The following is a 27909-nucleotide window of genomic DNA, read 5'->3' as shown; positions in this document are numbered from 1 at the left end:
TTAAAAATCGAAGCATGCTGGCTGCCATCATCACCATGGTAAGTATGATTGTCATGTCTGGCAAACATGTCCGGAAAAATCCGGATGTATTTTTCCAAGCACCTCAGACACCTTCTGACCCGACCCTCTCTGACCTGCCATGGGAGGCCTGAGGGTGGACCTTGCGGAATCCCTTTGCCGGGGTGTCTCCTGCTCTATGACGATGCCCAGCACAGGGCCAGTGCCTTCCCGCAGGCATGTCTCAGGCAGCCCAGCCACTGCAGGCCCTGGGCTGTTTATTTTGGTTATGTCCATGTTGCCATAATTGTGGACAAGACGGCGTGACCAGGGCGAGGTGTTTGAGTGCACAGCCCCAGCAGATGTCATCTAAGTTTTAATTTCAATAATTGCCTCTGTACACCTGTCATTTGCTCTGTTAAATAGCCTGGCATTAGATGTGTGGGGCTGGCTACACCAACAGGAAGAAAACCAATGCTGCTGTTCACTGGGCTTGGAAGGTGTTTGGGATGAGAGAGGGCCCTGTCATCTGCCCTGAGAGGGAGACGTGGTGGGGATGCCCCATCTCTGAGTCTGCACCACCCGCTTCTTTGCAGAGGGATGAACTGAAATCCCCCGCAATCCACTCCACCCACATAGGCCCCCACCCAGCCTTCCCTGTCTCACCATCACTCCTATTGTAGCCGAGGGGGGAAAAAACGATTTTTAAAGATTTGCTAATGGTAATGAAAAATATTCTGATATAGCATTAAGGATTTTGCTCCTGAAATGTGTTTAATGTAAATATGCTGTCAGAGACCCTTCAAGTAATTGACACAAGCAGATGATTAGCAGTGTTCTCAACGGTGTTTTTGCATAATCTTACATTTTGACAGAACTCCTCAGGCGCACGGTATTGTCAGTGCTCCGCAATCAGTAGGACTTTCTTCCTGACAACATTTACTTTGTCATTATCAATCTTGTAAGTGGTCATCTAGCTGGTTCTGGGTGGATGGAGGAGTGTCATTATTAATGCATTTGGGGCTGTGACTTCCTACCGAGAATCTCTCCTGAAAATTAAACTTCTTACCAATTTGGATCAAATCAGAGGAGCCACTTAGCAGCCCTGACCCCAGGCTTGTGGGGCCACTGTAGACTGCTGGGGCGTCAGCTCCATGCACGCTGTGGGACCTGGAGCAGGAGGTGGTGCGGCGAGTGCATCGTTAGAGAGGCCTGGACCTGGGCCAGCTCTCCTGGGGCCATCCCTCCCTAGGAATTCACCCTTTGGTTATAACCTAGCTACTTTCCAAGCTAGGTTGGTTTTTTCTTTTTGTCCACATTGAATTGAGTTCATCTATGGTGATATAAAAAAAATTTGTGTTCAATTATAATCATATCCAACTGCCCCAAATTAAACTGCCCTGATCTATAAGCATTCATAACTGCATACAGTTAAGTTACATTAATAGTCAATATAATAAACCTTCACCTTTATTGAAGCTGCTCTTGTTTCTACAGCAGTTCTTTAATCTATCTCAATAGATTTCTGGTGTACAGCACGTATAGATTTGGCCAGTGACAAGGGTTAGAGTAGTCTCGTAGAACATTTACCTGTAGCTCTGAAAAGCCCACATTTATCAGAGGATGAAGTCGATCACAATGTACCAGAATCAATGGAAGGCTTGTGGGATCCCTCTTAGGCTTGTAATGCATTCACCTTCTTTGGAGAGAATTCACACACACACACACACTCTCTCGCGTGCTCACACATACACACATACTTCTCTGTCTTAAAGCCATTTATCTCTGAATGTCAAATTGCAATAATTAACCATTATTGATCTTAAATTCAATTAACTTCATTAACACAGGTCATGGTGAGGGTGCGTGTAAAGGAAAGGCATTTGACAAGTGTCTTTGCTCATGTGACATTCTGTGTTCACAGTGGCGATGATACAGTGTTCCTACTGTCCCCTCCAAGAGGCTGCCAACAGAGAGGGCTGCCCTGAGCCTCAGAGACTTGGGTCCCGGACCCAGTCAGTGAGAGACCCCCGAAGTAATTTTTCTTTTTGGTCCTGAGAACTTTGCACAGTAGGAGTCTTACAGCTGTAAGGCAGCGTTTGAGCCCCCTTGCTATGTGTGGACACGGGGACCTTTGGAGCACAGGCAGATTAATCCATGATGGTCAAGGGATGCTGACCCAGGGCCCGACTTCTCCCCTGCACCCCATAACCTTGTCACAGGGTGTTCATGGACTTTCAGGCTTTGCTACATCCAGAAAGCGGCCCTTCTATTTGTATTTTCAGATTAAATAAAAATGACTTTCCCTCTTGATCAAGAAGAAAAACACCCGCATCCCACAATTGCGACCAGCAGAGGGTTCTGGGCACCCTTGCTACACGTGTGACATTTCTTGCTTTATCTACCTTGCATAGTTTGTGTCTCCCCGTGCCCTCCAAGGGAGGTGATGATATTGTCCCATTTTTCAAGTGGGGAGACTGAGGCTGAGAGATGAACAGACTCACCAAGCACACCTTGCCAAGGTGGCGTGGCCGGACTCCAGCCTACTGTCCTTTCCGGTCAGAGAGAGTCGCCATGCGGTTGTGTGTCACACTTTTTTTTGAGATGGAGTCTCGCCCTGTCACCCAGGCTGGAGTGCAGTGGTGAAATCCCGGCTTACTGCAACCTCCGCCCTTGGGGCTCAAGCAATTCTCCTGCCTTAGCCTCCCCAGTAGCTGGGACTACAGGCGCCCGCTACCACGCCCGGCTAATTTTCGTACCTTTAGTAGAGACAGGGTTTCTCCATGTTGGCCAGGCTGGACTCGAACTCCTAACCTCAGGTGGTCCACCCACCTCGGCCTCCCAGAGTGCTGGGATTATAGGCATGAGCCACCGTGCCCAGCTGTGTGTCACGCTTTTAAAGAATCAGGAGACCTTCTCTCGGTTTCTTCACTCTTAAGTAGTACATTTTAAACGTGTATTCTGGAGACAGGCAGTGAGATCCAGCAGTAAAAGCCCTGGCTGCTTTTTTTTCCCAATTCCAGTCCTCGTTCTGTGTCCTCATCCCCTATTCTCTGTCTCTCTAAGCGTCAGTCTCTTCATCCATGACATGGAGCCCATGGACGGCTCTCGCTCCTTCTCGGGCTGGTTTATAGCTGGGCAGCGATCATGTGCAGAAGGTACCCCCAGGAGTGCAAGGCCCCACAAAATGGGCCAGGACCGTTCCCAGACAGTACTGCTGCAGGTAGATGGGAGGCTTCTGTGCATCCACAATTGGTTCTGGGCTTTTAATTCTTTACGGAAATGCTGCTTGGTGCCGAAGTGTCTCAAGGAAATGGAACAAAACAAACAAACAAAAAGAACAAGCATGAAGTCGGCTCTTCTATGGGGTCAACTTTTAATTTAAAAGTTTGATTTAATTCAAAGAAATTGACTGAGTATCTGGCTTGTGCAGAGCCCTCCCTCTGCTCTGTATGGGGAGGGCTGGGACCCCCTTGCCTACCCAGCCCACTGGGAAAAAGGGACTGCCTAGCTGTAGGGTTTCTGCAGGGCTATGGGGATGCAGAGGTGAGAAGAATGGGCTTTGGATGGCGGGGACAGCAAAGCTCTTGGTCATGTGACACATCAGCTGGGTTGTGGGAGGTGAAATGCTCCTGGTCACATGAGCAGCCCTAGAGTGGCCTTCCCTGGGTGCAAGGGAAGCCAAGAGACACAAATCTCACAGGTCCGTGAGCACCTCCTGAGGAGTGACAGGTGACCTAGGAGGCCGCAGGAGCTCCATACAGCTCTATCCCTGCGCCCGAGGTGGTGGCCCACTGACCCTTTCTCAGGAAATGTCTGCTGATCCAGTAGCAGGTCTCTCTGCAGAGGGTGAGCATTTCACAGCTGGGTTTTAGGAGCATAACCACTGGACCTGTGAGTACGCATTAGGGCAGGGATGGCCAGGGAAGCAAGTGGCAGCTGAAATGGGTGGGGGTTGTACCTATCCTGGTTTATTTTGAGTGTCCTCTCCAAGCCTGTGTGTTTCTAGAGCACTTGCATTAGAAGCAGAAAGTTCAGGCCAAGTGCATCACCTCATGCCTGTAATCCCACTGCTTTGAGGGGCTGAGGAGTTGAAGGCCAGGAGTTCAAGACCAGCCTGGGCAACATAGCTAGACCCTGACTCTACAAAAAAAATATTAAAAATCAGCTAGGCGTGGTGGTGTGCACCTGTAGTCCCAGCTACTTGGGAGGCTGAGGCACGAGGATCAGTTCAAGGCTGCAGGTGAGCCATGATCACACCACAGTACTCCTGCGTGGGCAATGGAACAAGACCTTGTCTCTTAAAAAAAATAAAAAATTAGAAAATCGAGGTTGTAGAACTTTCTGCAGTTCTTAGGAATGGGCAAAAAAAAGAGACAGGAAGGGAATAAGCTACCCTTACTCTTGGTAGTTATCTTATTCAGTCTTCACAGCAGAAGGGTGGGGCCCAGAGAGGTCTCACTGCACATCTGTCTCCATTGTCCTGCCTGCCACACAGACGCCTACCCCGAGTAGTCCACCACAGGGACCTGGGAATGCTGGCGACGTGATCCGCAGGAGGGATCCTCTGAGGGGATGCGGGGAGCTGAGAACTGTGCCCAGTGGAGGAGGCAGTTGGCCTCGAACAACAAGCCTGAACCTGAAAGGAAGGGACAGACCTGAAACCCGCTGATTCCCACAATGGGGGACAAGACCCTGCCTGTGGTTAGGGGTGCTATGCCCCCTGGATGCTTTGGGTATTTCCCAACACCCTTCCAGCCTCCCACCTCCCGCTCCCACTGAGGTCAAAATTAGGACTGCAGCACATAGTTTGCCTATGTCTCTGTTTTCCCATAGTTTGTTGTCACTGTGGGTGACACTTTCACCTAGAATGCTGAGAATGCTGCCACGGAAGAGAGCAAAGGTGAGAGGCTGGAGAGCTGTCCCAGGCCCTTTGGCATTCTGTGGAGCTGGCACCTGAGGCCCCTGTTCCTTTGTGACTGACCCCCAGTGCCAGAACCCACTCTCCACTGACTCCCAGGCATGCAGCCCCAAATGCCCACTCCCTGGGACCAGGCACTGTGTCTTCTAGGCTGACGGTGCCCAGTATAGAGCCTGACACACAGGAGGTGCATGCTACAAATAAAAATTCCTTTATAACTTTCAAAATGACACAGTACTAACTGGGCAAGGTGGCCCACGCCTGTAATCCCAGCACTTTGGGAGGCTGAGGCGGGCAGATCACCTGAGGTCAGGAGTTTAAGACCAGCCTGGCTAACATGGTGAAACCCTGTCTCTACTAAAAATACAAAAAATTAGCCAGGCATGGTGGCGGGCACCTTTAATCCCAGCTACTCGGGAGGCTGAGGCAGGAGAATCGCTTGAACCCGGGAGGCAGAGGTTGCAGTGAGCCGAGATCACACCACTGGACTCCAGCCTGGGCAACAAGAGCAAAACTTCGTCTCAAAAAAAAAAAAAAAAAAAAAAAATTCACAGCACTTCCAGCACTTCATGAAGGTGTGCTTGTGAACATTCCAGACGGTGCAGAAGGGCACCCGTTTCCTCCCCTTCCTCTCTCCATGCCATTCCCCACAACAGTATCTGCCTCCTCCATCTGCAGGACAGCTGCTAATATCCAGGCCAGGATTATTTCACTGGGTGCCCACATACAATCACACACACACAAACTTGCTCAGAAAACAGAGACCCATGTTTGTGTTTGTGAGACTTATTTTCTTTTCCTACCTTCTGCTATGTCTTAGAGATCTCCTCATATGAGAAATTAGAGAATTATCATTATTTTTAAACTTTGTAAGCAGTTGGGTACACATGGCCATAAAGATGGGAACAGTGGACACTGGGGCCTACTAGATGGGAGTGGGGGAAAGCGAGGGGCAAGGGCTGAAAAACCACCTGTTAGATATCATGCTCACTACTGGGGTGATGGGATCCATCATAGCCCAAACCTCAGCATCACACAATATGGCCATGTAATAAACCTGTACCTGTACCCCCTGAACCCCAAAGTTGAAATTATTATTAAAGAACCTTTTTATGCAGAATAACATACAAAAAGGCCAGCATACGAATATAAGTGTAGGTGGAATTTTCCCCAGGTGAACACACCTGTGCCTCCAGGGCCCAGGTCCAGAGGCAGAACATTTCGTGTTCCAGGATTTCCACAGCCCTTCCCCAGCCACCACCTCCAAAGGGTAACTGCTGTCCTGACTTTTAACACCACAGGTGAGCTTTGCCTGATTTTGAAATTTACATAAATGAATTCATAAAATATTTTGTTGCTGTGATCCTCCCATGTTGTTTTGAATAACAGTTGATTTTGTCTGTGGCATGGCACTCTAGCATGTGGACAGGACACTGTGTATTTATTCACTCTACTGGTGGTAGACATTTGAATCCTTTCCAGTTGCTTTGCTGTTGTGAATAGCGTATCAAAGGATATCAGCGTACAGGTCTTTTGATGAAATACATATGCACATCTAATGGGTCTAGATCTAGGAATAGAATTGCCAGGTCACACAGAGTATGTGTAAGTGTAGCTTTCGTAGATACTGACAAACAGATTTTCAAAATGGTTGTAACAGTTGGTACTGGAAAGTTCCAGTGTTCCGTATCTTCTCTGACACTGGTATCTCTGTCTTATCGTCCTTGTGAGTTGCTGCATAGTATTTCATGATATGGGTATACTTTAGTTTGTTTATTCACTTCTTTGGTATTCTAAGAAATACTGATGAGAACACCCTTAATCATAGAGGGGTTTTTTTGTTATTGTTGAGGGGCTATGTATGATGTATGAATGTTTTTGTAGTAAAGATTGCTATCTGGGTCAGAGTGTAGATATTTTCAATTTTGATATATACTACAAAATTATTCTCCACAAGAAGGCAAGCAAGGCATGAACCAGTTAGTGAGAGTGCTGTTCTCATTATTATATTGTTTCTTTTCTCTCTCTCTTTTCTGTCTCTCTTCCTTGTGATGGATGGTAAGGTGTTAAGGGTTCCTGATCTAGCATAAGAAACACCCAACTCAGACTATATAAGTGTCAATATAAAAATGTGAGATGGGATACTTAAGAGGAAACATATATTGTGATGCCAACCAGTCAATAGATTATATATTGGTTGGAGAAAAGCTGTTTTAATATATAGACATGAGGTTGAAATCTGTAGGCATGTATATGTCAGTCAAAATTATTTAAAAATTGAAACATTTGACCATTACCTTTGTTCCTTCAAGCAGGCTAGAATGATTTTTTCACTGTCCATCCAAACAGTGTTCACATGCACACTAGTGAGGCCTGGGTGCATGTTAACTGAGAGCTGGGTCAATACTGAGTGAGTGCTTGTTGAGTGCTGAGTGAGTGCTGAGTACTGGCTAAGTGCTGACTGAGTGCCGCTGGCTGAGTGCTGGGTCAGGGCTGGCTGAGTCCTGGCTGAGTGCTAGGTGAGTGTTGGGTCAGTGCTGGCTGAGTGCTAGCTGAGTGTTGGCTAAGTGCTGGCTGAGTCCTGGATGAGAATTCGCTGAGTGTTGGCTGAATACTGTGTCAATGCTGGCTGAATGCTGGATCAGTCCTGGCTCAATGCAGGCAGTGCTACAGACCTTAAGAAGGTCACTTAGTCATGGTGGCTACCATGCAGGTGCTCAGTGCAGAAAGGGTAGGGCTAAACTTTTCTGAGGTCACTGGGAACATCTTCTCTCCAAGTTTTCCTTGTGGTCATAAGATGAGGAACTTCGCCAGAACTGAGATACCCTGGTGGCCCTGGTTCTTACTGGAGTGTCTCTGTTCTGTGACGTGGGAATGAGGAATGAAGAGATGCATGGGAAGTCAGAGAGCACGTGGGACTTCTCAGCCCAGCATTCGAGAGCCGTTGAGGAAGGTGGTGGAAACTTCTACCTGAAGTGACCCTTGGTCTTTGTTGGTTCTTAGCCTAAGCAGCGCCATCCAAACTAAAAGAATTGGACCAGAAGTTACTGAGTACAGTTGTCATGCCAGGCCATGCAAAGGGCACAGAGGTAAGAAATGCTCCTGTAGTGTATATGGAAAGAGAATTTATGCACAGGATCAGCGACTCTAAAACTACAAGAGATAAATGCCAGAAGAGATATACAATGATGCTGATAATTTCTTATATTTCTGTAGGCTTTAGAGTTTAGAGGGGACTTTTCCATTCATTGTCTCATCACAGAAATTAAAGAGATCACTTTCAATGAGACAGGTGAGAAAGGACTTCCTGGGGGACATGGAATGAGCAGGACCTTGGAGGACAGGGAGGGGAATGTGAAAAGACCAAGCATGATATGTAAAATGGAAGAAACAGCATCAATCAAGGCAAGATCAAAGGAAAGTTATCAGGGAAGACTAGCATCTCTGTGTGTGGAGGGGGCAGTGGACAATAAAACATAGAAGGTAAAGTGGGGCTTGGTTAACCTGGGCTTTGAATATCGAGCTAAGACATTTGTGCAGATGTATGATTCTCTAATGCCCTTGTGCTCTGTGTTTAACCAAGGCCACCTTGAGTACATAAAAGTATAGCCTGTAATTCTGAGCTATTTACTTTGTTTACTTATTCCTAACCCTAAAGCATCTGGAGTATATAATTAGTGTCTAATACATATTGGATGAAAGGATGGGTTTTTGGGTTGTTGATGGGTGGGTGGGCGGATGGATGGATTTTTGGATGGATGGGTACGTTTTTGGGTGGATGGATGGATGGATGGATTTTTGGATGGATGGATACATTTTTGGATGGATGGATGGATGGATGGATTTTTGGATGGATGGATACATTTTTGAATGGATGAATTTTTGAATGGATGGATGGATGGATGGGTTTTTGGTTGGATGGATGGGTTTTTGGTTGGATGGATGGGTTTTTGGTTGGATGGATGGGTGGATGGATGGATGAGTTTTTGAATGGATGGGTTTGGGATGGCTAGAAGAATGAGATGAACAGATGAGGGATATATGGATGGATGAATGGATGGGTGTTTGGATGGATGGATATGTTTTTGGATGGATGAATGGGTGGGTGGATGGATGGATGGATGGATGGATGGATGGATGGATGGGTGGATGGGTTTTGGATGGATAGGTTTTTGGATGGATAGATGAATAAGTCTTTCAATGGATGGATGGATGGATGGGTAGATGGATGGAGGGTTGGCTGGGTGGATGGGTAGATGTGTTGAGTGAATCAGTTGCTTCGTCTTCCATGTAAATCTTAACTCCCATCTCATGTTAGCCATCCATTTACCTTCCCCTTGGATATAGCTCTTTTAGTATTTTGGAGGAAAGCCAGCAAGTCCCAGTGACAGTTTGAGTTGTACATGTTTAGCCACCTGAAGAGGCCCATTTTAAGGACTGTTCCCAAATTTTCACAGCCTGCTGCCCAATTCTCAACTGTGCTTTTCCCAGGTTTTTAGATCACCAAGTGTATAGGCAGGCAAGAGTTCCTTGGTTCCATAAACTGCCTCAATGAACTGCCTTGTTAAAGACATCAGCTACCCCCTGAGAATCCCTCTGCTCATGTATGCAATTTGAGAAGGTCAAGCACATCCCCTGCCCCTAATAATTTACCCAATTCCTATTCCACCAAGATGAGAGAATCCTTTCTTTGGATGAAGTTACTCTTCTAATTTATTGGATCCAATATAGGCCAGGATTTACCTCATGGCTTTTGTAGAATAAAAGGTAAAAAGGACATTGGGAAGAGGTTCAGACCCTGGATTCTTTATTCTGAGAGGGCAGTGTGCTTGGAAATGTATTGAACTCAAAGAGGAATGGGAATACGGCACCCACAGGCAGCTTACTTCCTTTACCAGTCTTGCAAAAATGCACCCTGGCTCCGGAAGCCATGTTTCACTGTATAGACCGTCGCTGGCTACCAGGACAAACTGATTGCTGTCAACCCAGATATGGGCCCAGCACCGGGCTGGCTGAATGATGACTCTGCCCTGTAGCTTAAATGGATTAAGGTGATTTCAGCAGTGAAGCACTCCTCCAGGGCACACAGAGTGAGTGTATGGACTCCCCATGACAGCAGACAGGTGCGGGCTTCCACCATTGGTTTGATGCCCAGTCAGTTTAAATGTGCTTGAAGCCAAGGACAGTAGGTGACTCAGATGGTCCCCAAAGTGAGTATTTATTTATTCTTTGTTATCTGAAGATTTGTCTGAGGCAGTGGTTTTTGTCCTGTGAATGCCTCCTTGATACATTTATTTTTGTTTGTACTGGGATTGGTGCCCTAACTGCAGCAGAGCAAGCTCCCCAGAAGGCATTGGAAGAGAGTCATTGTAGAGACAGGGAAGCTGCCTTCTCTTTCTGATCTTGGAGAGCTTCCTGACGTTCTGGCCTCCTCCTTTTCTGAGCCATCCCCCTCATGAAGAGTGCTGGGAAGGGAGGGAGATTGTTCTGGGGAGGAGCTGCTAGACGGTGGTACAATGGGGTTCTTTCATTGCAGCAAGAATTCAAAGAAAGAAGCTTCAGGCAGTGTCTTTCTTAACTCAGTTTTGGGAGCCCCAGGTTTGGCTTCTGGAACTCTTGGACTCTTGTTTCCCATCACCGCTGGAGGAACAGGACTCATCCTGGGCTCTGAGTCTTCTGAACCGGCTGGGGCTTCCAGCAGCTAGGAGGTGTTCTGGGAAGCCTCGTTGCCATGGGTTCCCTAGAGGAGCAGCCGCAGCCTGTCATTGGCTTACGCCACCACTGGCCACTCGGGCTGTGCTAAAGCATGGTGTTTCCTTATTCACACTGACTTTATTCACCAATCAGCTAATGCCATGCTTTTCTTGGGATGAAAGCATTGCAGCTTTATTAACACAGGGATACCCAACTGAACAAGCATTCATCTCACACATTACATCAAATTAGCGTGTACAAAATTAATATTCCTGACCTTGCTAGTGGGAAGAGCAATCAATCTAGGGGAGGTTGTCATCCCGCCATGGCCAGCCTTCTGCAGAAGTCCTGGCCATTACAGCTGCAGCCACTTTTCCTTCCCCCAGAGCCAAACCATGCCCTTCTGGATCCTCTGGCCCTTGGGTATTCCCCTGGTTTCTGGGGAGCTCCAAAGCCCAGCAGCGATGCCTGGAAGGCCCCTGGTCTCCCTGGTACCATCCAAGAATGCCATTTTCTCTTTGTCCCTAGAGGCCATGACCTCCATCATCCTAGGTAGCGTCTCTAGGTGACTCCGGGTGCCCAGGTGGATAGATGGAGAAGACTTGTGTTCCCCACTGAATTGTCACCTCCTCGGTACCAGGTATAAACAGTCCTCTAGAACCCTTTTTTTCTCCCTGCTTATTTAATAACTAGACAGAAGCCCAACATGCAATCCAAGCATATTGGTACCCCCCAGTGTGTGTTTAGCTAAGCCCCCTCCATTCCATCCCACACTTCCCCCTGCCATCTCCTCTCTCTGTTTGCACAAAAAGGAAGTCCTGCCTTCACACTGTTGCTTTGAGCCCCTCCCGGTCAAGAGCCAGGAGGGTGCACCTCCATCTTGATTTGTCATGTTCTCTGAGGGCCAGGGGGAATGTGTTTGGTTAGTGGCAATCCAGGCCTGAGCTTCCTCCCTGTCTGTCTATCCCTCACACCCACCAGGGCTCTGGGCCAGGTCTAGGGGCAGCTGCTTCTGAGCAGCCCATTGTGTGGGACCTCAGGACATCTGGGGATAGCTCTAGGCCCTAAATCGGGTGGCGTCAGACACAGCTGATATGGCAGGTGTGGTTCCCCTGAGAAGGGGATCCCCTTGCTTCATCATAGCAAGGTGTGCAGCACGTTTGTACAGCAGAGAGCCCTGTATAAGCATAACCCAGGGGGCACAGCGTGTAAGGCACTTCCATGAGTCCTTTGTCAAGCAGATATTCTTTTGTCAAATGAATCAATTCATCCAGATTTTCCAGGTGTATTGAGAATAAGCTGAGATTTAGGTGAAATTTTCTGGGGACTTTGAGCTCTTTCCCTGACACAGAGGAAGGTGATTCAAGGCAGAAGCCCAGCGGACATGGGGTCTGGGCTCAGCCTGGAGGAGAACGCGGCCCAGCTTGGGGGCTAGGGGCTACAGGGACAGTGGCAGCCAATCTGAGAGCCAGTGTCTGAGGTGCCGCCCCAGCCAGAACCGTGCTGCAGGGCATCTGGCTCCGAACCCCACCCCTGGGAGTGGGGCACTGGGGATCTCCAGTCAGATCCATGCAGTGGGATGGAGCGGGACTGAATCCATGGTCCTGCCCGCTACCTTCCTAGAATTCCTTTACCAGGGGCTGGGGCCCGGGGAGGAGAGCTGTGCTTGGTCAGGAACACTAATGCTGCAGGCGTGCTTCTGACATCATCTCTTCCTTCCTTGCCTCCTTTCCTTGCCCTCCATTTCCCTCCCTTTTTCTTCTCTTTTCTGTCTGGCTTTCTTCCTTTTCTGCAGCCCCCATTTTAAGGCTGCCCAGAGTGAGGAGGGACAGAACCCAAGCCCCAGTGGGAGCTCTCACCCCAGCAGGGCTTGGTGCTTGTCCCCCCACCTCCTCCTTTTGTGATGAGGTCAGCATGGAGGGTCTGGGAGACCCAGAGGCCTTTACAAGAGGAGGGGTGAGCCTAGGGGTCATCCCCTGGCCGTGCCTCCCAGATTCCCGACAGCAGGAGGCCTTCTGTGTGGAGCTGTGTGGAGCACAGCCCCTGTGCAGTTGGTGCACCTCTATTTGCAGAGTTTCTTTAACTTAGAAAAGTCCTTTATGCCCACTCCTTATGAAATCCTTGGTTGCCTGCAAACACCTGGGAGGCGGATGTGGCCAGTTGCATCTTCCCATTCCTTCCTCCCATTTGTTGATGAAGAAACTGATGCTCACAGATGTGAAGTCAGTCATCACAGCCACAGGACTAATCCATGGCAGGGCAGAAGCTGAGACCCAGGGCCTCCCTGCCTAACATCACATTGTTTCCCAGAGAAAAATCCAATGCAGAAACAGCAGATCCTGCCTGGCTCCGTGGCTCAAGCCTGTAATCTCAGTGCTTTGGGAGGCCGACGCTGGAGGATCACTTGAGGCCAGGAGTTCCAGAGCAGCATGGGCAACACAGCAAGACCCCAACTCTAAAAAAAGATTGTTTTTAATTAGCATGGTGGTGCTTACCTGTAGTTCCAGCTACTAGGGAGGCTGAGGTGGGAGGATCACTTGAGCCCAGGAGTTAGAGGCTGCAGTGAGCCATGATCACACCACTACACTCCAGGCTGGGCGACAGAGCAGAGAATCGGCAGGTCCTCTCCAGAGTCCAGCTACTGCCCTCTTGGACGGCTCTCCACATTGGGTTGCTATGGCTTTTGAACTGTCCCCTCCTGTCTCCTCCTGCCATTTCCTTGGGGTCTGCTCTGTTGTGGGCCCAAGTGTGAAGAAGGCAGGTAAGTGGGGAGTGAGAAGTGGTCAAGATGCCTTGTGAGCCTCTTGGCATTTTTCCTTGTCCAAGCACATTCTGCAGCAGAGAAGAGGACTTCGTGCCTGCTGAGGGCTTAGGCATGTGTTGAAGTTGATTCTGGCTCTGAGGAAAGGGCAGGAGGGTCTGCAGAGACTGGTGTGCATGAGTCCTGGAGAGCCTGCTTGGGAAAACACACCTGACAGCCACCTTCCCAAGCCATCATCCTTCCTCCATCCCCTTCGGCTAGTTAAATTATTATTTAAATAAAAAAAAGGATTAACAAACAAAAAACAATAAAGCACTCTTATCCTGGCGAGGTATCTAGTGCCTGTAGTCCTAGCTACCCAGGAGGCTGAGGTGGGAGGATGGCCTGAGTCCAGGAGTTCGGGGCTGCAGTGAGCTGTGATTGCACCACTGCACTTCAGCCTGGGTAACAGAGCATAACCCTGTCTCAAAAAAAACAGAAAAAGAAATCACCCTCTGTCATTTGAAAATCTGAGTATTCAGGGAAGCAGGAGGAAAGGAGGCCCGGAGGCCCCAGCATTGGAATGGACCCATAGCGGCTCCCCTAGGTCCATCCTCTTTTACCTTGGTGGCCATCCTGAGGGCCACTTCTGTACCAGAACTCACAGGCTCCAGGCCCTCTTTGTCATAGAGTCCTTTCCAGAAAATAACCTCTTTTGTCCTTGTCTCTTCTCAAATCTCCATTACCTGTGTTCTCTCTCTCCATTCCTACCTCCCATGCCCTTTGGTGGCCTCTCTCTCCCCTACGCCAGCCCTAGTGGATTCTTCTCTTCCTCTCCCATCTCTCTTTCTCCCTCTGTCCTCTCTCTGCTGGGCCCCCTCCTCTCTCTCTGACCCCTTCTCAAACCCTGGATGACTTGATGGCCCCTTCCCTCTTCGGTCCTTTCTTCTCCTTTCCCTGCCTCTTCCTCTCCCTCCTGGCTCTACTCTTTCCTCCATCACAGTCACAGGGCTCCTTATGGATGGATGACCAGAGGCACTCATTGCAAAGAGGGGTGTTCTTCTGGGCTATCCGTAATAAGAAGACATGCGGAAAAGGAATCTATAAACAGTTTTAGCCAGCAAAGCACCTTCCCAGGGGAAACGGAGGGTTATAACTTCAGAACCTTTATTTCAGCCCAGAAAATGCTAACTCTCACAGGGCATTTTACTTGGAAATTGCATTGGGGAGCGGGACACAGCCATACTTTCTTTTCCTTTCTTTCCACCCACACCCAGTGCCCCCTCCCACCCACGACTTGCCCATCCGTGGCCCCCGTGGTTGGAGAGTGCAGGTCCCAGCCAACACTTCCTCTTTATCTTTTGGGAGAGATTCCTAACTGTGTGATGAAAGTAATTCCACCTTGCCCAGAAATGAATTCCGTTATGCCCCAGCTTACTGTTTTATATTTATATGACACATATTAATTTCTTTTTACCTAGAGGTTGAATTTAGTTAATGATGACAATAAATATTAACGAATTGGTGTCTCCAGACCCTTGATGGCCACGGTGGGCCAGCTCTCTTCTCTCCCCGGACATGATACGTTTGTCATCCCTGCATCCACGGTGTGAAAGCCACACCACTGGTGAGCTGAGGGTGGGGATGCTGGACCCTCCTGGAAGGGTAGGTGTGGATCCCAATGGGGGAATTGAGAAGGTTCTGCGTGGCTGCCCACTCCTCATTCCGGGGACAGGGCGCTCCCTCCCACACTTCCTGTGTGGTCCCCTGACACTGGACCCCGGGTGTGGGTCTTAGGAGTTCAGGCAAATGCCCCATCTACCTCCAGTGACTCATCCCGAGGGGTTGCAGCAGAGGGCTTGGGGTCAGAACTGGTTCCTCAGTGCAAGTGTGCTGTGGAACTAGCCAGAATCCCTGTTTCCTTGTCTGCAAAATGGAGATGATTTTTCCACCTTCCTTGACCATTGAGAGGACCAGATGCAATGAATGTGTGAATGTGAACACAGCTCATAAACATGCTCATATTAGGCAGGATCCGTGTTTTGTCTTTGTGTTTTTTTGTTTTTCCATCATGTGGGCTTCCAAGGTTGTTGGGCTATAGAACTTTGCAGAAAGCTTTTGTAACTTTGGGAGCTTTTATTTCTCATCCATGTGTGTCTCTACCCAGGAGTCACATTTGGTTCTGTGCATGCCAAGTTCTTCAGTTCAGGCAGTTGTCTGGAAATGTGTCCTTGGCACTCAGCTCTTGAGAGATCGATGGCTGTCTTGTTGCTTTAAGCACACAGTCTTCATTGGTGGGGTAAGGAAAGTGAGATGTGTGTGGGGAAGCGGGTGCAGCCATTCCGCAGGGGCTCACATCTTGAGAGACTCTTTCAATGGAGGGACTTGGGGAAGCGTGGAATGCGGGTGCCCAGTCGGCCTCTCACTTGCTAGTCCCTGATCACTTCTGTGTGCTTCTTTGCATCTTTGCAGCTGTTGGTTTGGTTTGAATGAGAACCTCCTCCCCCTCACAGTCCAGCTGCCTCCTCCATGGGAGCTGGCAGCAGAGGTTCCCATCTTATTTGCTCAAGAGAAAAGAGGGATAGAGGGATGATAATGCATTCTTTTCTTTTTCTTTCACTTTCACTTTTCCTTTTTTTTTTTTTTTTTTTTTTTTTTTGAGACAGTGGCTTGCTCTGCTGCCCAGGCTGGAGTGCAGTGACGATCACAGCTCACTGCAGTCTCCACCTCCCAGGTTCAAGCAATTCTCGTGCCTCAGCCTCTCAAGTAGCTGGGACTACAGGTACCCGCCACCATGCCTGGCTGATTTTTTGTATTTTTAGTAGAGACGGAGTTTCACCATATTGCCCAGGGTTGTCTCAATCTCCTGAGCTCAGGCAATCTCCCAGCCTCGGCCTCCCAAAGTGCTAGGATTACAGGTGTAAGCCACCACGCCTGGCCTACTTTTCCTTTTTTTTTTTTTTGAGACAGAATCACTCTGTCACCCAGGCTTTAGTGCAATGATGTGATCCTAACTCGCTGCAGCCTCAATCTCCTGGGCTGAAGCGATGCTCCTGCCTCAGCCTCCTAAGTAGTTGGGACTACAGGCACAGGCCACCATGCCCGGTTAATTTTTAAAAGAATTATAAAGATGAGGTCTTGCTGTGTTGCCCAGGCTGGTCTTGAATTCCTGGGCTCAAGCATTTCTTCCACCTCGGCCTCCCAAATGCTGGGATTACAGACAAGAGCTACTGCACCTGGCCGATAATGCATTCCTGAAGAGGGTATTTGAGTGTGGGCACAGCTTGGGCAGGCTCCAATGCAAGGAGACCACCGACTGGGGTGTCTCCTCCCATCTTCCTTGGTGGTGGGTTCTGTCATCCTGTCTACCCCAGAGACCTTTAATCACGAAGTGGCATTGCTGAATGTGCCAGTCACTCTCAGACAGAACTTGCCTAGGATGGACTTTGGGTCTCACCCCAGCACATCTGCTTTGCACTGGGACTGGCTGGACTCAGGATCCATTCAGGATGTTTTGGCAGCTATTTAGGAAGTGTGAAGCAGCTGTCTATGATATTCATTCATTCATTCATTCGTCCCATTGACATGTATTGAGTGGCCACTCTGGGCCGGACGGTAGGGTTGCGGCTGATAACTGGGGTGTGGGTGTGTGGGGTCTCGTCCTGACCACACAAAGCTGACAATGTGTTGGAATATCTGGCCATACACAAGTGATCCCCATGGATAAGGGGACAAAAGCTGGGGTCAAAACCCTGCTATCCCCAAGAGCCTTTTCCCTGAGGCCCGGGGAAGGGTGGGTTCCCGCATTCTCCACTTCACTGCACCTGCCCCAGGGTTTCCAGCAGAGGAGGCAGTGCTAGAAAGTAAGGAATGAGAGATCTTGGTGCATCTCAGAAGCTGAGAGGGGCTGGAGGGGAACCGGGCAAATGGTGGAGGACTCCCTTCCTTCAGGGCTGCTTTGAGGAATTTGGATCTTCTTCCGAGCCCAGTGGGAAGTTACTGAGGGTGTTATATGGGGAGGTGATATGACCAGCCTGATATTCTATATTAATCTCAGCAGCTTCTGCTTGGAGATGAGATTAAAGGGGCTGGGGCTGGAGTCAGGGAGTTGGTTGGGGATGGGGTGAGAGATGCTAGTGGCTGGACTGGGCCCATGTGGGAGGCTGCAGAGAGAATGGGGGATCCTGTTAACAAAGGCTGTTACAACTCCTTGCTCCTGGACATGACCCCCCACTCACCTACTTGAAATGAGGCAGCAGCTGTCCATTGCTCAGCTACTGCATGCAAGACTAAGGAAGTAAGGTTCCCTCCCTTAGAGAATTCAGGCAAGAATGCACAGAAAGTTAAGTAGCAACAAGGAATTTAAATACTCTCAAATACTGTTGGAGACAGTAGCGGAATTTCCCAAGGTCACATGTGATGCATTGTTGGGTCGAATCGGTGGACGGTGCCTACCCCTGGGCTACTGAAGCCAGCCTGGTGGGGACCAGGTTCTCGACAGCCCTGCCCCACACCCCTGTTGACTTCTCACCATCTGCACAGTGACTGGGAACACCCAGTCTTTCCTCCCCTCCTTGCCTGATCCAGGGCATTCGCTGTGCCAGCTTCCAGAGCCCTTCCTTCTATCCAGCCAGGGGCTTTGCGTGTCAAGCTCAGTCTAGAGAAGAAAGCACAGAGGAACTACTCCACTTGCTGAGTGTTGGTGAGGTTGGCGTTTGCAGAGAATGAACCAGATTAAGCGACTTTACAGCTCGGCTCTTTACCTTCTCTGAAAGGCCATAAAATGATAGACATGTAGCCGAGGAAGGACGTTACAAATATTACCCAAGTGCCCCGTATCATTCAAAGAAGGAAATAGAGGCCTAGAGAAACAAAACTCTGCACTGCACAGTGTGCGGCAACCTGCCTGGTGCCTGTGGCAGCTTGATGCGTATTTGTGGAGTGCCTTTCATCCCTTAGTTCCCTCATTCCACTGGGTCCATTTCCATTTTCTAGAACATTTTTAAAGTTCAGTAATCAAGAGTATAAATATTCTCAGAGTAGTGAAATTATTGCAAAGCATGGTGGAAGATGGGAATTTTCCCTTTATTTTTATGTATTTATTTTTGGAGATAGGATTTTGCTTTGTTGCCCAGGCTAGAGTGCAGTGGTGGGTCATGGCTCACTTGCACCCTCCACCTCCGGGTTCAAGTGATTCGCCTGCCTCAGCCTCTGGAGTAACTGGGACTGCAGGCATGTGCCACCATGTCTGGCTAATTTTTTTGTATTTTAGTAGAGATGGGGTTTTACCATGTTGCCGAAGGTGGTCTCAAACTCCTGAGCTCAGGCAGTCTGCCTGCCTTGGCCTCCCAAAGTGCTGGGATTACAGGAATGAGCCACTGCGCCCAGCCCTTCCCTTTATTTTAATGTGGAGGGGAGAACCAGTGGGTAAAAGTCTTAGGCTCCACCTAAGGAAATACTTCTCACCTTCAGATCGGAAAAGAAAATGGTCATTTGAACAGGGAGTGAGGCCCACGTCACAGCCACGAGGGTGTGCGCTTGAAAGAACCCTCAGAAACCATGACATGGTCAGGAGTGGGGTGTGCGGTGAGGCCAGGTCTCTCCAGGACCCAGTTCTGCTTGGCACCAGAGCCTTTTAATTCTCCTCTGAGTTGGATCTTGTTCCACCAGGGAGGTTGAGAGGTTGGCCTTTTCTTTCCATATTAATTTCCTCCTCAGTCATCAGACTGATGACATTCTGACCCTGCTGTGTAGTTTACAAAGCATATCAGAGCGTGTTGTGGGCCAGCCCAGGAGAGGAGCTGGTCATATCATTCATGGTGCATGTGTTGGGGAGGGGTGCTCCGGACGGCCTGGGCTGGTTTGGTGCTTGTGCAGTGGGGGTGGGGAAGGCTCTGGCCATGGGGAGATGCATTGCCCCTGGGTGGAATGTGGGCTGGCAGAGCCCCTGGGTTTCCCTCTCACCTGGTGGCCTTCACCCACAGAGGACTCTTTCATGTCCACTATTGGCTCTGCTGCTTCTGGCTGCTGGTGTCCTCTCGTAGTGGCTGCTGTGGGGCCATTTCTCTCTCAGACTTAATTTCATGGGAGCCACTGTAATAGGAGCAAAATCCCCAGGGTGTGGGGTTTGTATTGCAGACTGTGGCTCCAAGAGGCATCTCCAGGACAGAAGGGGCTTTGATATCTTCACCCATCTACACAGGCCTGGGCATTTCCTTGAGTCTCAGTGGGAGGGACACCAGCCATGGGATTTCCTCCTCTTTCCCCGTTTACAATAAAACCGTACTATGGAAACATCATATATGCATGCACCCGGTGCACTTCTGCAGACAGTGGGCTGTGTCTAGCTAAACCCAGCCTACTCTGCTCCAGCTGTTCCCCGAGAGGATTATAAGAGAGGTTGCAGACCCACCTGGATGCTCTGACCTCAGTCATACTGTGTGCCCCAGCTAGGGTAACAAGCCATCCTTCAGTTTGCATAAGACTGAGTAAATTCCCAGGATGCAAGACATTCAGTGCTGAAACCAGGACAGCTCCAGGCAAATTGGGACACTTGGTTATTCTACCTCGGCTGTTCTTCCTCCAGGCCTGCCACTCCATTGGAGTTTTGAGTCCAGATTTCTAGAATGTGCTGCATGCCGAGGAAGTCTGTCGGGGGGCAGGTGAGGGAGAGTGAGATGTCTTCTTTTCTTTTTCTTTTCCTATTCTTTTCCAACACATGCATTCACAGTCTTCACTGTGGCTAGCACAGGAGCCTCCATTGGCCAGCGCCGTATTTCCCTAAGCATTTGGTCTTGGCCCTAGGAACAGAGCTTTTGCTGTCTTTATTTGTCATCTCAAAGTGCATGGCCTTAAACTTGAGGTTCCCCACAGCACTTCACACTCAGCTGACTGCAGCAGGGCACTCTCTTCTGGTCATTTGTAAAGAACATCCATGGCTCCTGGACAAGACTCTTGCTTAGTAGTTGGCAAATGAGCAGAAGTATCCCCCTCCCTGCAGCTGATGTGTGTACCTGGGGCAGTTCCCATCCAAGTTCACATTACATCAGTGTTGGGATTCCATGTGTCTTGGCTTAGGAATCTTGGCACTCAAAGTAGGGGGCTTAGGAGCAAAAGAATCACACCTGTCCTGGAAGGAATGAGGGGGGCCTATCTGCTTGACTTCAAGGGACTCATTTCACTGTTTTTGTTTGTTTGTTTGTTTATTGTTGTTGTTGGTTTTCTGATGTGAAATGGAACAGGGGCAAATCTTTAAAGCTGGTGGAGTCAATTCCACAAACAAAACTTCCCTTCCTTTCTTAAGAGCTTTTTGTAGAAATCAGCCTTGCAATTAGCACTGCAACGTTCCAACCACTTAACACACTTCCCCACTGGCCTTTTGAAGCAAACAAGTATTTAGAAGCTGACAGGACAAAGTCACTTTATTTCTCCTTTTCCTTTACCTTGAAATTGTTCCTAGCCACAGGGCTGGCCACTCCTCACTGTCCAAAAAACTACCCTGATGCAGTATGCAGTGGCAGATCAGTTTAGTAAGGAATAACCCAAGTCACCGAATGCAAGAGAATGAAAACAAAAACAAAAACAAAAAAAACACCCTGTTGCATTAACGCAAGTATTCTCTGGGCTCTGTGTCTCTGGACGTGCATCTTCCAGAACCTGCAGGCGCGTGGCCTGCCCTCCACCTGCGTGGGAATGCATGCTGGATTTACATCCCAGTTACATCGCTTCCAGAAAGACAGGATCTCTGTTGGATGCCCATGAAGCTTATACTGAGTAAATATTGACAAAGTAGTCTAAAGAGCAAACACTTTGACATTTGTAAGGTCCACTGGAAGGTCTTGTATATATTTATACATCAGGAATGAGCACCGCATACCAATTTTCCTGAACTTGTTGTGACATAATTCTGCATGGAGAGTGTGTGTGCACAGGTGGCTGAGAACGGCTGAGTGTTCACATGGGGGACAGGGCTGGGGGCTGGGTGGTAGCTGGTCAGGGTATTTCCTCTCAACTGGAACGAACCCACACCTATCCCTGCCAGGAAACCTACCTCTAAGCTTTTCTGAGACCTGCTTTTCCAGAAGGAAGAAAGAAAAAAAAAAAGCCACAAAATCTTGTTTTTCCCTTATTACAATGGACGTACTTTTCTTTTTACTTGGTAAAAATTTTATTGATGTTTTTATACTTTATATTTATTAAAGATTGAGCCTCAAAAATGTAATGAGTAAAAAATGCTTGCTTAATTTAAATTGTGAATCTGTCTGTTAAGAAATGCATTAGGGGTAGGAGAAGCATAAGACATATTAATTGACAGACAGGAACTGCTGTCTCTGAGGTTGATACAAGTAATTTATTACTTTAGAAATGAATGCCACCTCCAGAATGTGCTTCATTAATTTCAAATTTAGTTTTAATTTCAAGCTGTTGCCCCTTGAGAAGAATAAGGTGGCAAATTATGTTTGAAGAGCAGATTTTTTTTTTTTTTTGCTCCAAAGAAACACCACATTTTAACTGTTTAATTTTACAAATACATGTACCCATCTGGGTTGCTGTGTTTTCCTGAGAGCCCAGAACATATTCTAGGTAAGATCAACAAGTACTAATGCTTTTTTTTTTCTTTCTCTCCTTCTCCCTGTCTCTCTTCATTCCATCCTACCTGTCTCTCTTTCCCACCTGTTATCATGGCAGCCTATGTTTCCGAAGAGTTAAAGGCTGCTGCCCTGGTGGACGAAGGTTTAGACCCAGAGGAGCATACGGCAGATGGAGAGCCCTCGGCCAAGTACATGTGCCCGGAGAAGGAGCTCGCCAGGGCCTGCCCCAGCTACCAGAACTCCCCGGCCGCCGAGTTTTCCTGCCATGAAATGGACAGCGAGTCACACATCAGTGAGACCAGTGACCGAATGGCTGACTTTGAAAGCGGCTCCATCAAGAACGAAGAGGAGACCAAGGAGGTCACGGTCCCACTGGAAGACACGACTGTGTCGGATAGCCTGGAGCAGATGAAGGCCGTGTACAACAACTTCCTCTCCAACTCCTACTGGTCCAACCTCAACCTCAACCTGCACCAGCCCTCCTCGGAGAAGAACAACGGCAGCAGCAGCAGCAGCAGTAGCAGCAGCAGCAGCTGTGGCAGCGGGAGCTTCGACTGGCACCAGAGCGCCATGGCTAAGACGCTGCAGCAGGTGTCACAGAGCCGCATGCTCCCGGAGCCCAGCCTCTTCAGCACCGTGCAGCTGTACCGGCAGAGCAGCAAGCTCTATGGCTCCATCTTCACGGGGGCCAGCAAGTTCCGCTGTAAGGACTGCAGCGCTGCCTACGACACCCTGGTGGAGTTGACGGTGCACATGAACGAGACGGGGCATTACCGCGACGACAACCATGAGACCGATAACAACAACCCCAAGCGCTGGTCCAAGCCTCGCAAACGCTCCTTGCTGGAAATGGAAGGGAAGGAAGACGCCCAGAAGGTGCTGAAGTGCATGTACTGTGGCCACTCCTTTGAGTCCCTGCAGGATTTGAGTGTCCATATGATCAAAACAAAACACTACCAAAAAGTGCCTCTGAAGGAACCCGTCACTCCTGTCGCCGCCAAAATCATCCCTGCCACTCGGAAGAAAGCTTCCCTGGAGCTGGAGCTCCCCAGCTCCCCAGATTCCACAGGTGGAACCCCCAAAGCCACCATCTCAGACACCAACGATGCACTTCAGAAGAACTCCAACCCTTACATCACGCCAAATAATCGGTACGGCCACCAGAATGGGGCCAGCTATGCATGGCACTTTGAGGCCCGGAAGTCGCAGATCCTGAAGTGCATGGAGTGTGGGAGCTCGCATGACACCCTGCAGGAGCTCACTGCCCACATGATGGTCACTGGCCACTTCATCAAGGTCACCAACTCTGCTATGAAAAAGGGGAAGCCCATTGTGGAGACGCCTGTCACACCTACCATCACAACCCTGCTGGATGAGAAGGTCCAGTCCGTGCCCCTGGCAGCCACCACCTTCACGTCCCCCTCCAATACACCTGCCAGCATCTCCCCAAAACTGAATGTGGAGGTCAAGAAGGAAGTCGACAAGGAGAAAGCGGTCACTGACGAGAAACCTAAGCAAAAAGACAAGCCTGGCGAAGAAGAGGAGAAGTGTGACATCTCTTCCAAATACCATTACTTGACTGAAAATGACTTAGAAGAGAGTCCCAAGGGGGGGCTTGATATCCTCAAATCCTTGGAAAACACAGTGACATCCGCAATCAACAAGGCCCAGAACGGCACTCCTAGCTGGGGGGGCTATCCCAGCATCCATGCCGCCTACCAACTTCCCAACATGATGAAGTTGTCCCTGGGCTCGTCGGGGAAGAGCACGCCCCTGAAACCCATGTTTGGCAACAGTGAGATTGTCTCCCCGACGAAAAACCAGACCCTGGTCTCTCCACCCAGCAGCCAGACGTCCCCCATGCCCAAGACAAACTTTCATGCCATGGAGGAGCTGGTGAAAAAGGTCACTGAGAAAGTTGCCAAAGTGGAGGAGAAGATGAAGGAGCCGGATGGGAAGCTTTCCCCGCCCAAGCGGGCCACTCCCTCCCCATGTAGCAGCGAAGTCGGGGAACCCATCAAGATGGAGGCATCCAGCGATGGGGGCTTCCGCAGCCAGGAGAACAGCCCCAGCCCCCCGCGGGATGGGTGCAAGGATGGGAGCCCCCTCGCTGAGCCGGTGGAGAATGGCAAGGAGCTGGTGAAGCCCCTAGCCAGCAGTTTGAGTGGCAGCACGGCCATCATCACCGACCACCCGCCTGAACAGCCTTTTGTTAACCCTTTGAGCGCCCTGCAGTCAGTCATGAACATTCACCTGGGCAAGGCCGCCAAGCCCTCCCTGCCTGCCCTGGACCCCATGAGCATGCTTTTCAAGATGAGCAACAGCCTGGCGGAGAAGGCTGCTGTGGCCACCCCGCCGCCCCTGCAGTCCAAGAAGGCAGACCACCTCGACCGCTATTTCTACCACGTCAACAACGACCAGCCCATAGACTTGACAAAAGGGAAGAGTGACAAAGGCTGCTCCTTGGGTTCAGTGCTTCTGTCACCCACGTCCACAGCCCCGGCAACCTCCTCATCCACGGTGACAACGGCAAAGACATCTGCCGTCGTATCATTCATGTCAAACTCGCCGCTACGCGAGAATGCCTTGTCAGATATATCCGATATGCTGAAGAACTTGACAGAGAGCCACACGTCAAAATCCTCCACTCCTTCCAGCATCTCCGAGAAGTCTGACATTGACGGGGCCACTCTGGAGGAGGCTGAGGAGTCGACGCCCGCCCAGAAGAGGAAGGGCCGCCAGTCAAACTGGAACCCCCAGCACCTCCTGATCCTCCAGGCCCAGTTTGCCGCCAGCCTCCGGCAGACCTCAGAAGGGAAGTACATCATGTCAGACCTGAGCCCCCAGGAGCGGATGCATATCTCCAGGTTCACCGGGCTGTCCATGACCACCATCAGCCACTGGCTGGCCAACGTGAAATACCAGCTTCGAAGGACAGGTGGAACAAAGTTCCTCAAAAACTTGGACACTGGCCACCCCGTCTTCTTTTGTAACGATTGTGCGTCCCAAATCAGGACTCCTTCCACGTACATCAGTCACCTAGAGTCACACTTAGGCTTCCGGCTACGGGACTTATCCAAACTGTCCACCGAACAGATTAACAGTCAGATAGCACAAACCAAGTCACCGTCAGAAAAAATGGTGACGTCCTCCCCCGAGGAAGACCTGGGGACTTCCTATCAGTGCAAACTTTGCAATCGGACCTTTGCCAGCAAGCACGCTGTTAAACTTCACCTTAGCAAAACACACGGGAAATCTCCGGAAGACCACCTTCTGTATGTCTCTGAGTTAGAGAAGCAGTAGCATTTGCTTTTGATAGAAAGGACTGCAGTTTGCTTTGAGGGAAACTGTGGAAGGCACCTTCAGGCCCCCTCTGACTTGTTGTTCTTGGCACATGTTCTTATTTTAACTGCAGAGAATCACTCTGGGCTGGACTGTTTTGTATAACTGTACAGTGTTTAATAGAGGTGCATAATCAGCTGTTGTTACTGGTAAAATATGAAGGTTAAAATGCAGTGGTAAGTGTTTGGAACTTTGTGTAAACGGGATTTAGTTGTGAGCATCCTCCCGATGCTTCAAGCTGCATGCATTAACAGACAGTTTAATTAAGCATTTATAACGGAATCAGGCACACCTTTTCCACGAGACTCGAGTGTGCTGGCATTTCTCACCCTTTCATCTTTAGCCCTCTGAGTACTTTGAAGCACTTTTGCATTAATTTGGTTAAAAAATAAAATAAAATAATAATAATGTATGAAGCTCTGTTTTTTAAACTCCTTACCAGCTTAGTTATAATGAATAATATGAACCTCCATTTATGCAGGTCTGCAGGGGTATAACACGCCTTGAAATTTAAAAGAATATTATTTTCACATTGAAACATAGATGTATATATTGTATAGATTTCAGACTCTCTTATGAAAAAAAATGTGATTGTGGTTAAATGACCTTTTTCTTGCATTTATAGCAACAGTGTTTTATGCACCTGCTATGCTCTGGGCATAAGCTGTGCCTATGTATAGTGTATATTTCTTTTTTTCTTTTTTTTAAGGTCTATGGGTTTTGTTTTTTACATGCAAACATTGTAAATTATACAGAAGATACCACAGATAGCATTTATAAAGTATACAGAAACATTATCTGAAAGCAAAGTATGATAGTTTGTTTTGCTATACAGTACATCTATATTGATAGAGGTTCATGTTTAAATTATACATATTTATTAGCATCATATTGTCATTTGTTTTGAGCAGTCTGAATAAACGAGACCGGGAAAGACATCCCTGGCAGGCATCAGAACTATTTTGCACATGATTTTTAAAGGTATTTATTAGAAATCAAAGAACACTCAAAATAAACTCAGTGCTCAAAGGGTTAAGTCTATTTGAAAAGGTTAAAAAAAAGAACAAAAAAAAAAAAAGAACTTGTACTGTATTTCCTAAACATTGATAAAGCCTTTAAAATGTTTGTACTGTAATACTTTGCTTAAAAGTCATGAGGCATTCTGTGATCCAACCTCTTTCACTTATTTATAAGCCCTCTTGGTTGCTATTCCATATTGTAGGATGCCTTTCTATTTCAATTGGTAACTTTCTGTTTTGTTCTTCCTAATTATTCTCCCAAGATCCCACACTGCAGCTTTATCTTTAGGCTTATGAAAGGTAACCCGTGGTTACCGGCTCTCCAAGTGATTCTGTTCTTCTCCATTTTTGGCAGTTAATTTGCAGAAGTAACTGACAGCTGACACCATATGAGAACCTTTGTATAAAATATTGGCATGTAAACAGCACAGACACCGTAACACACTCTGTGCCCTGTTTGGTTGTTGACAATGAAGCACCATTATGTGACTCTTCATATAACCCTTTTTTCTACGGCAGCATTAAAATTGTCTTTTTGCTATAATTTTGTGTTGCGTTCACAATTATGTCTGAAATGTGCTACGACTAACGAGCACATTAAAATTAAATTGTATGCGATCTGTTTATGACGGAGCTGGTTGCTGCGGCTGCCAGGTGCTGGCAGTCGGAAGCTGTGCGTAAATCAGGGGGAGTTTTAGTGAACTTTGGCGTTTGGAGAGCAGGGAGCACTTACTCAGAGGCAGCTCGAATAGGATCTGCACCGAGAATAAACATTCACAAGAAAGGAAGATATGCCTATAAGGTTAGATGCTCAGTGCAGAAGGGATATTGCCAGACCCCCAGGATCAGAGCTTCCGGTCACACCTGGTGACCTGCATGGGGGTCTGGGGTTTGATCTCTCTTCTGGATGCCCGGGGTTCAGGGCCCTGCACTGTCAAGGAGGCTGATGGGAAAGAAAGCTTTGAAAGGGTGACTCCTTCCTGTTGACTCAGGATTTTCAAACAGCGGGAAACAGAACCAATCGGGTCAGACAGACTTTGGGGTCCCAAGGTTCTCCCTCCTGTGTTAAAACAGCCACAGATAAGCAGGCAGGGGTGTTGTGGGAGGAGACTGAACCCATCCATGGGAGGAGGGGGAGAGCATTTATATGATAATCACAAGCTTTTATTAGCCCCGGCAAATCATGCCAACAAAACGCTGGGAACATCATGTAAAATTGTAAAATACCTTTATTACTATATTCAAACTACTCTTGCAGTTATGCAGAATCATAGCTCCTAACCTAGAATTATACAAATGAGAGATGTATTACATCCATGTAATACATAAAACACCTCAACTTAAAAAAAAAAACACATATTTTATTAAAAATTTAAGCCCTTTCAGAGATGTTCGGCAACACGCCTACGGTTTTTCCGCTCATCCCCACCCCTTTTTCTCAAGAGGAGTCCAAATTTTTCTGTCTACTCTGTTTTCTCTCGGCATTCCATCTTTCTCCGGGTTTTTAGGGAGAAACTCACTACAATTTAAAATGAGTTGTTTGGCAAATAGAGAGTGCTGTGTTAGCTAAGCTCTTGCCTTGGGATGTGGGCACACAGGTGGGTT

The 27909-nt window shown here is 48.5% G+C and overlaps 1 protein-coding gene across 4 annotated transcripts in view, besides 1 other annotated feature; it reads left to right on the top strand.

Annotated features, from left to right (window-relative positions):
* Positions 1-27909, top strand: part of TSHZ3 (teashirt zinc finger homeobox 3) — a 201002-nt gene that overhangs the window by 49085 nt on the left and 124008 nt on the right. For 2 of the 4 annotated variants that reach the window (XM_047439132.1, NM_020856.4), the window contains one exon: positions 22041-26848. The exons of the other annotated variants lie outside the window; for them this stretch is intronic. In XM_047439132.1, coding sequence (XP_047295088.1) covers positions 22041-25246 — 3206 coding nt within the window. In that variant the 3' untranslated portion in view covers positions 25247-26848. Of the gene's footprint in view, positions 1-22040; positions 26849-27909 lie in introns of those variants that run through there. 4 annotated transcript variants of the gene reach the window in all.
* Positions 12495-12995: an enhancer, noted in NCBI's record as "H3K27ac hESC enhancer chr19:31779704-31780204 (GRCh37/hg19 assembly coordinates)". NCBI's record gives its function as "activates a minimal SCP1, AML or CMV promoter by ChIP-STARR-seq in naive H9 embryonic stem cells {active_cell/tissue: H9 hESC(naive)}" and the evidence as "EXISTENCE:reporter gene assay evidence [ECO:0000049][PMID:30033119]".

This window comes from Homo sapiens, chromosome 19 (assembly GCF_000001405.40).
Source record: "Homo sapiens chromosome 19, GRCh38.p14 Primary Assembly".
NCBI classification, from domain to species: Eukaryota; Metazoa; Chordata; class Mammalia; order Primates; family Hominidae; genus Homo; species Homo sapiens.
The sequence above is the reverse complement of the archived record's forward strand: the minus strand, read 5'-3'. Positions and strand labels throughout refer to the sequence as shown.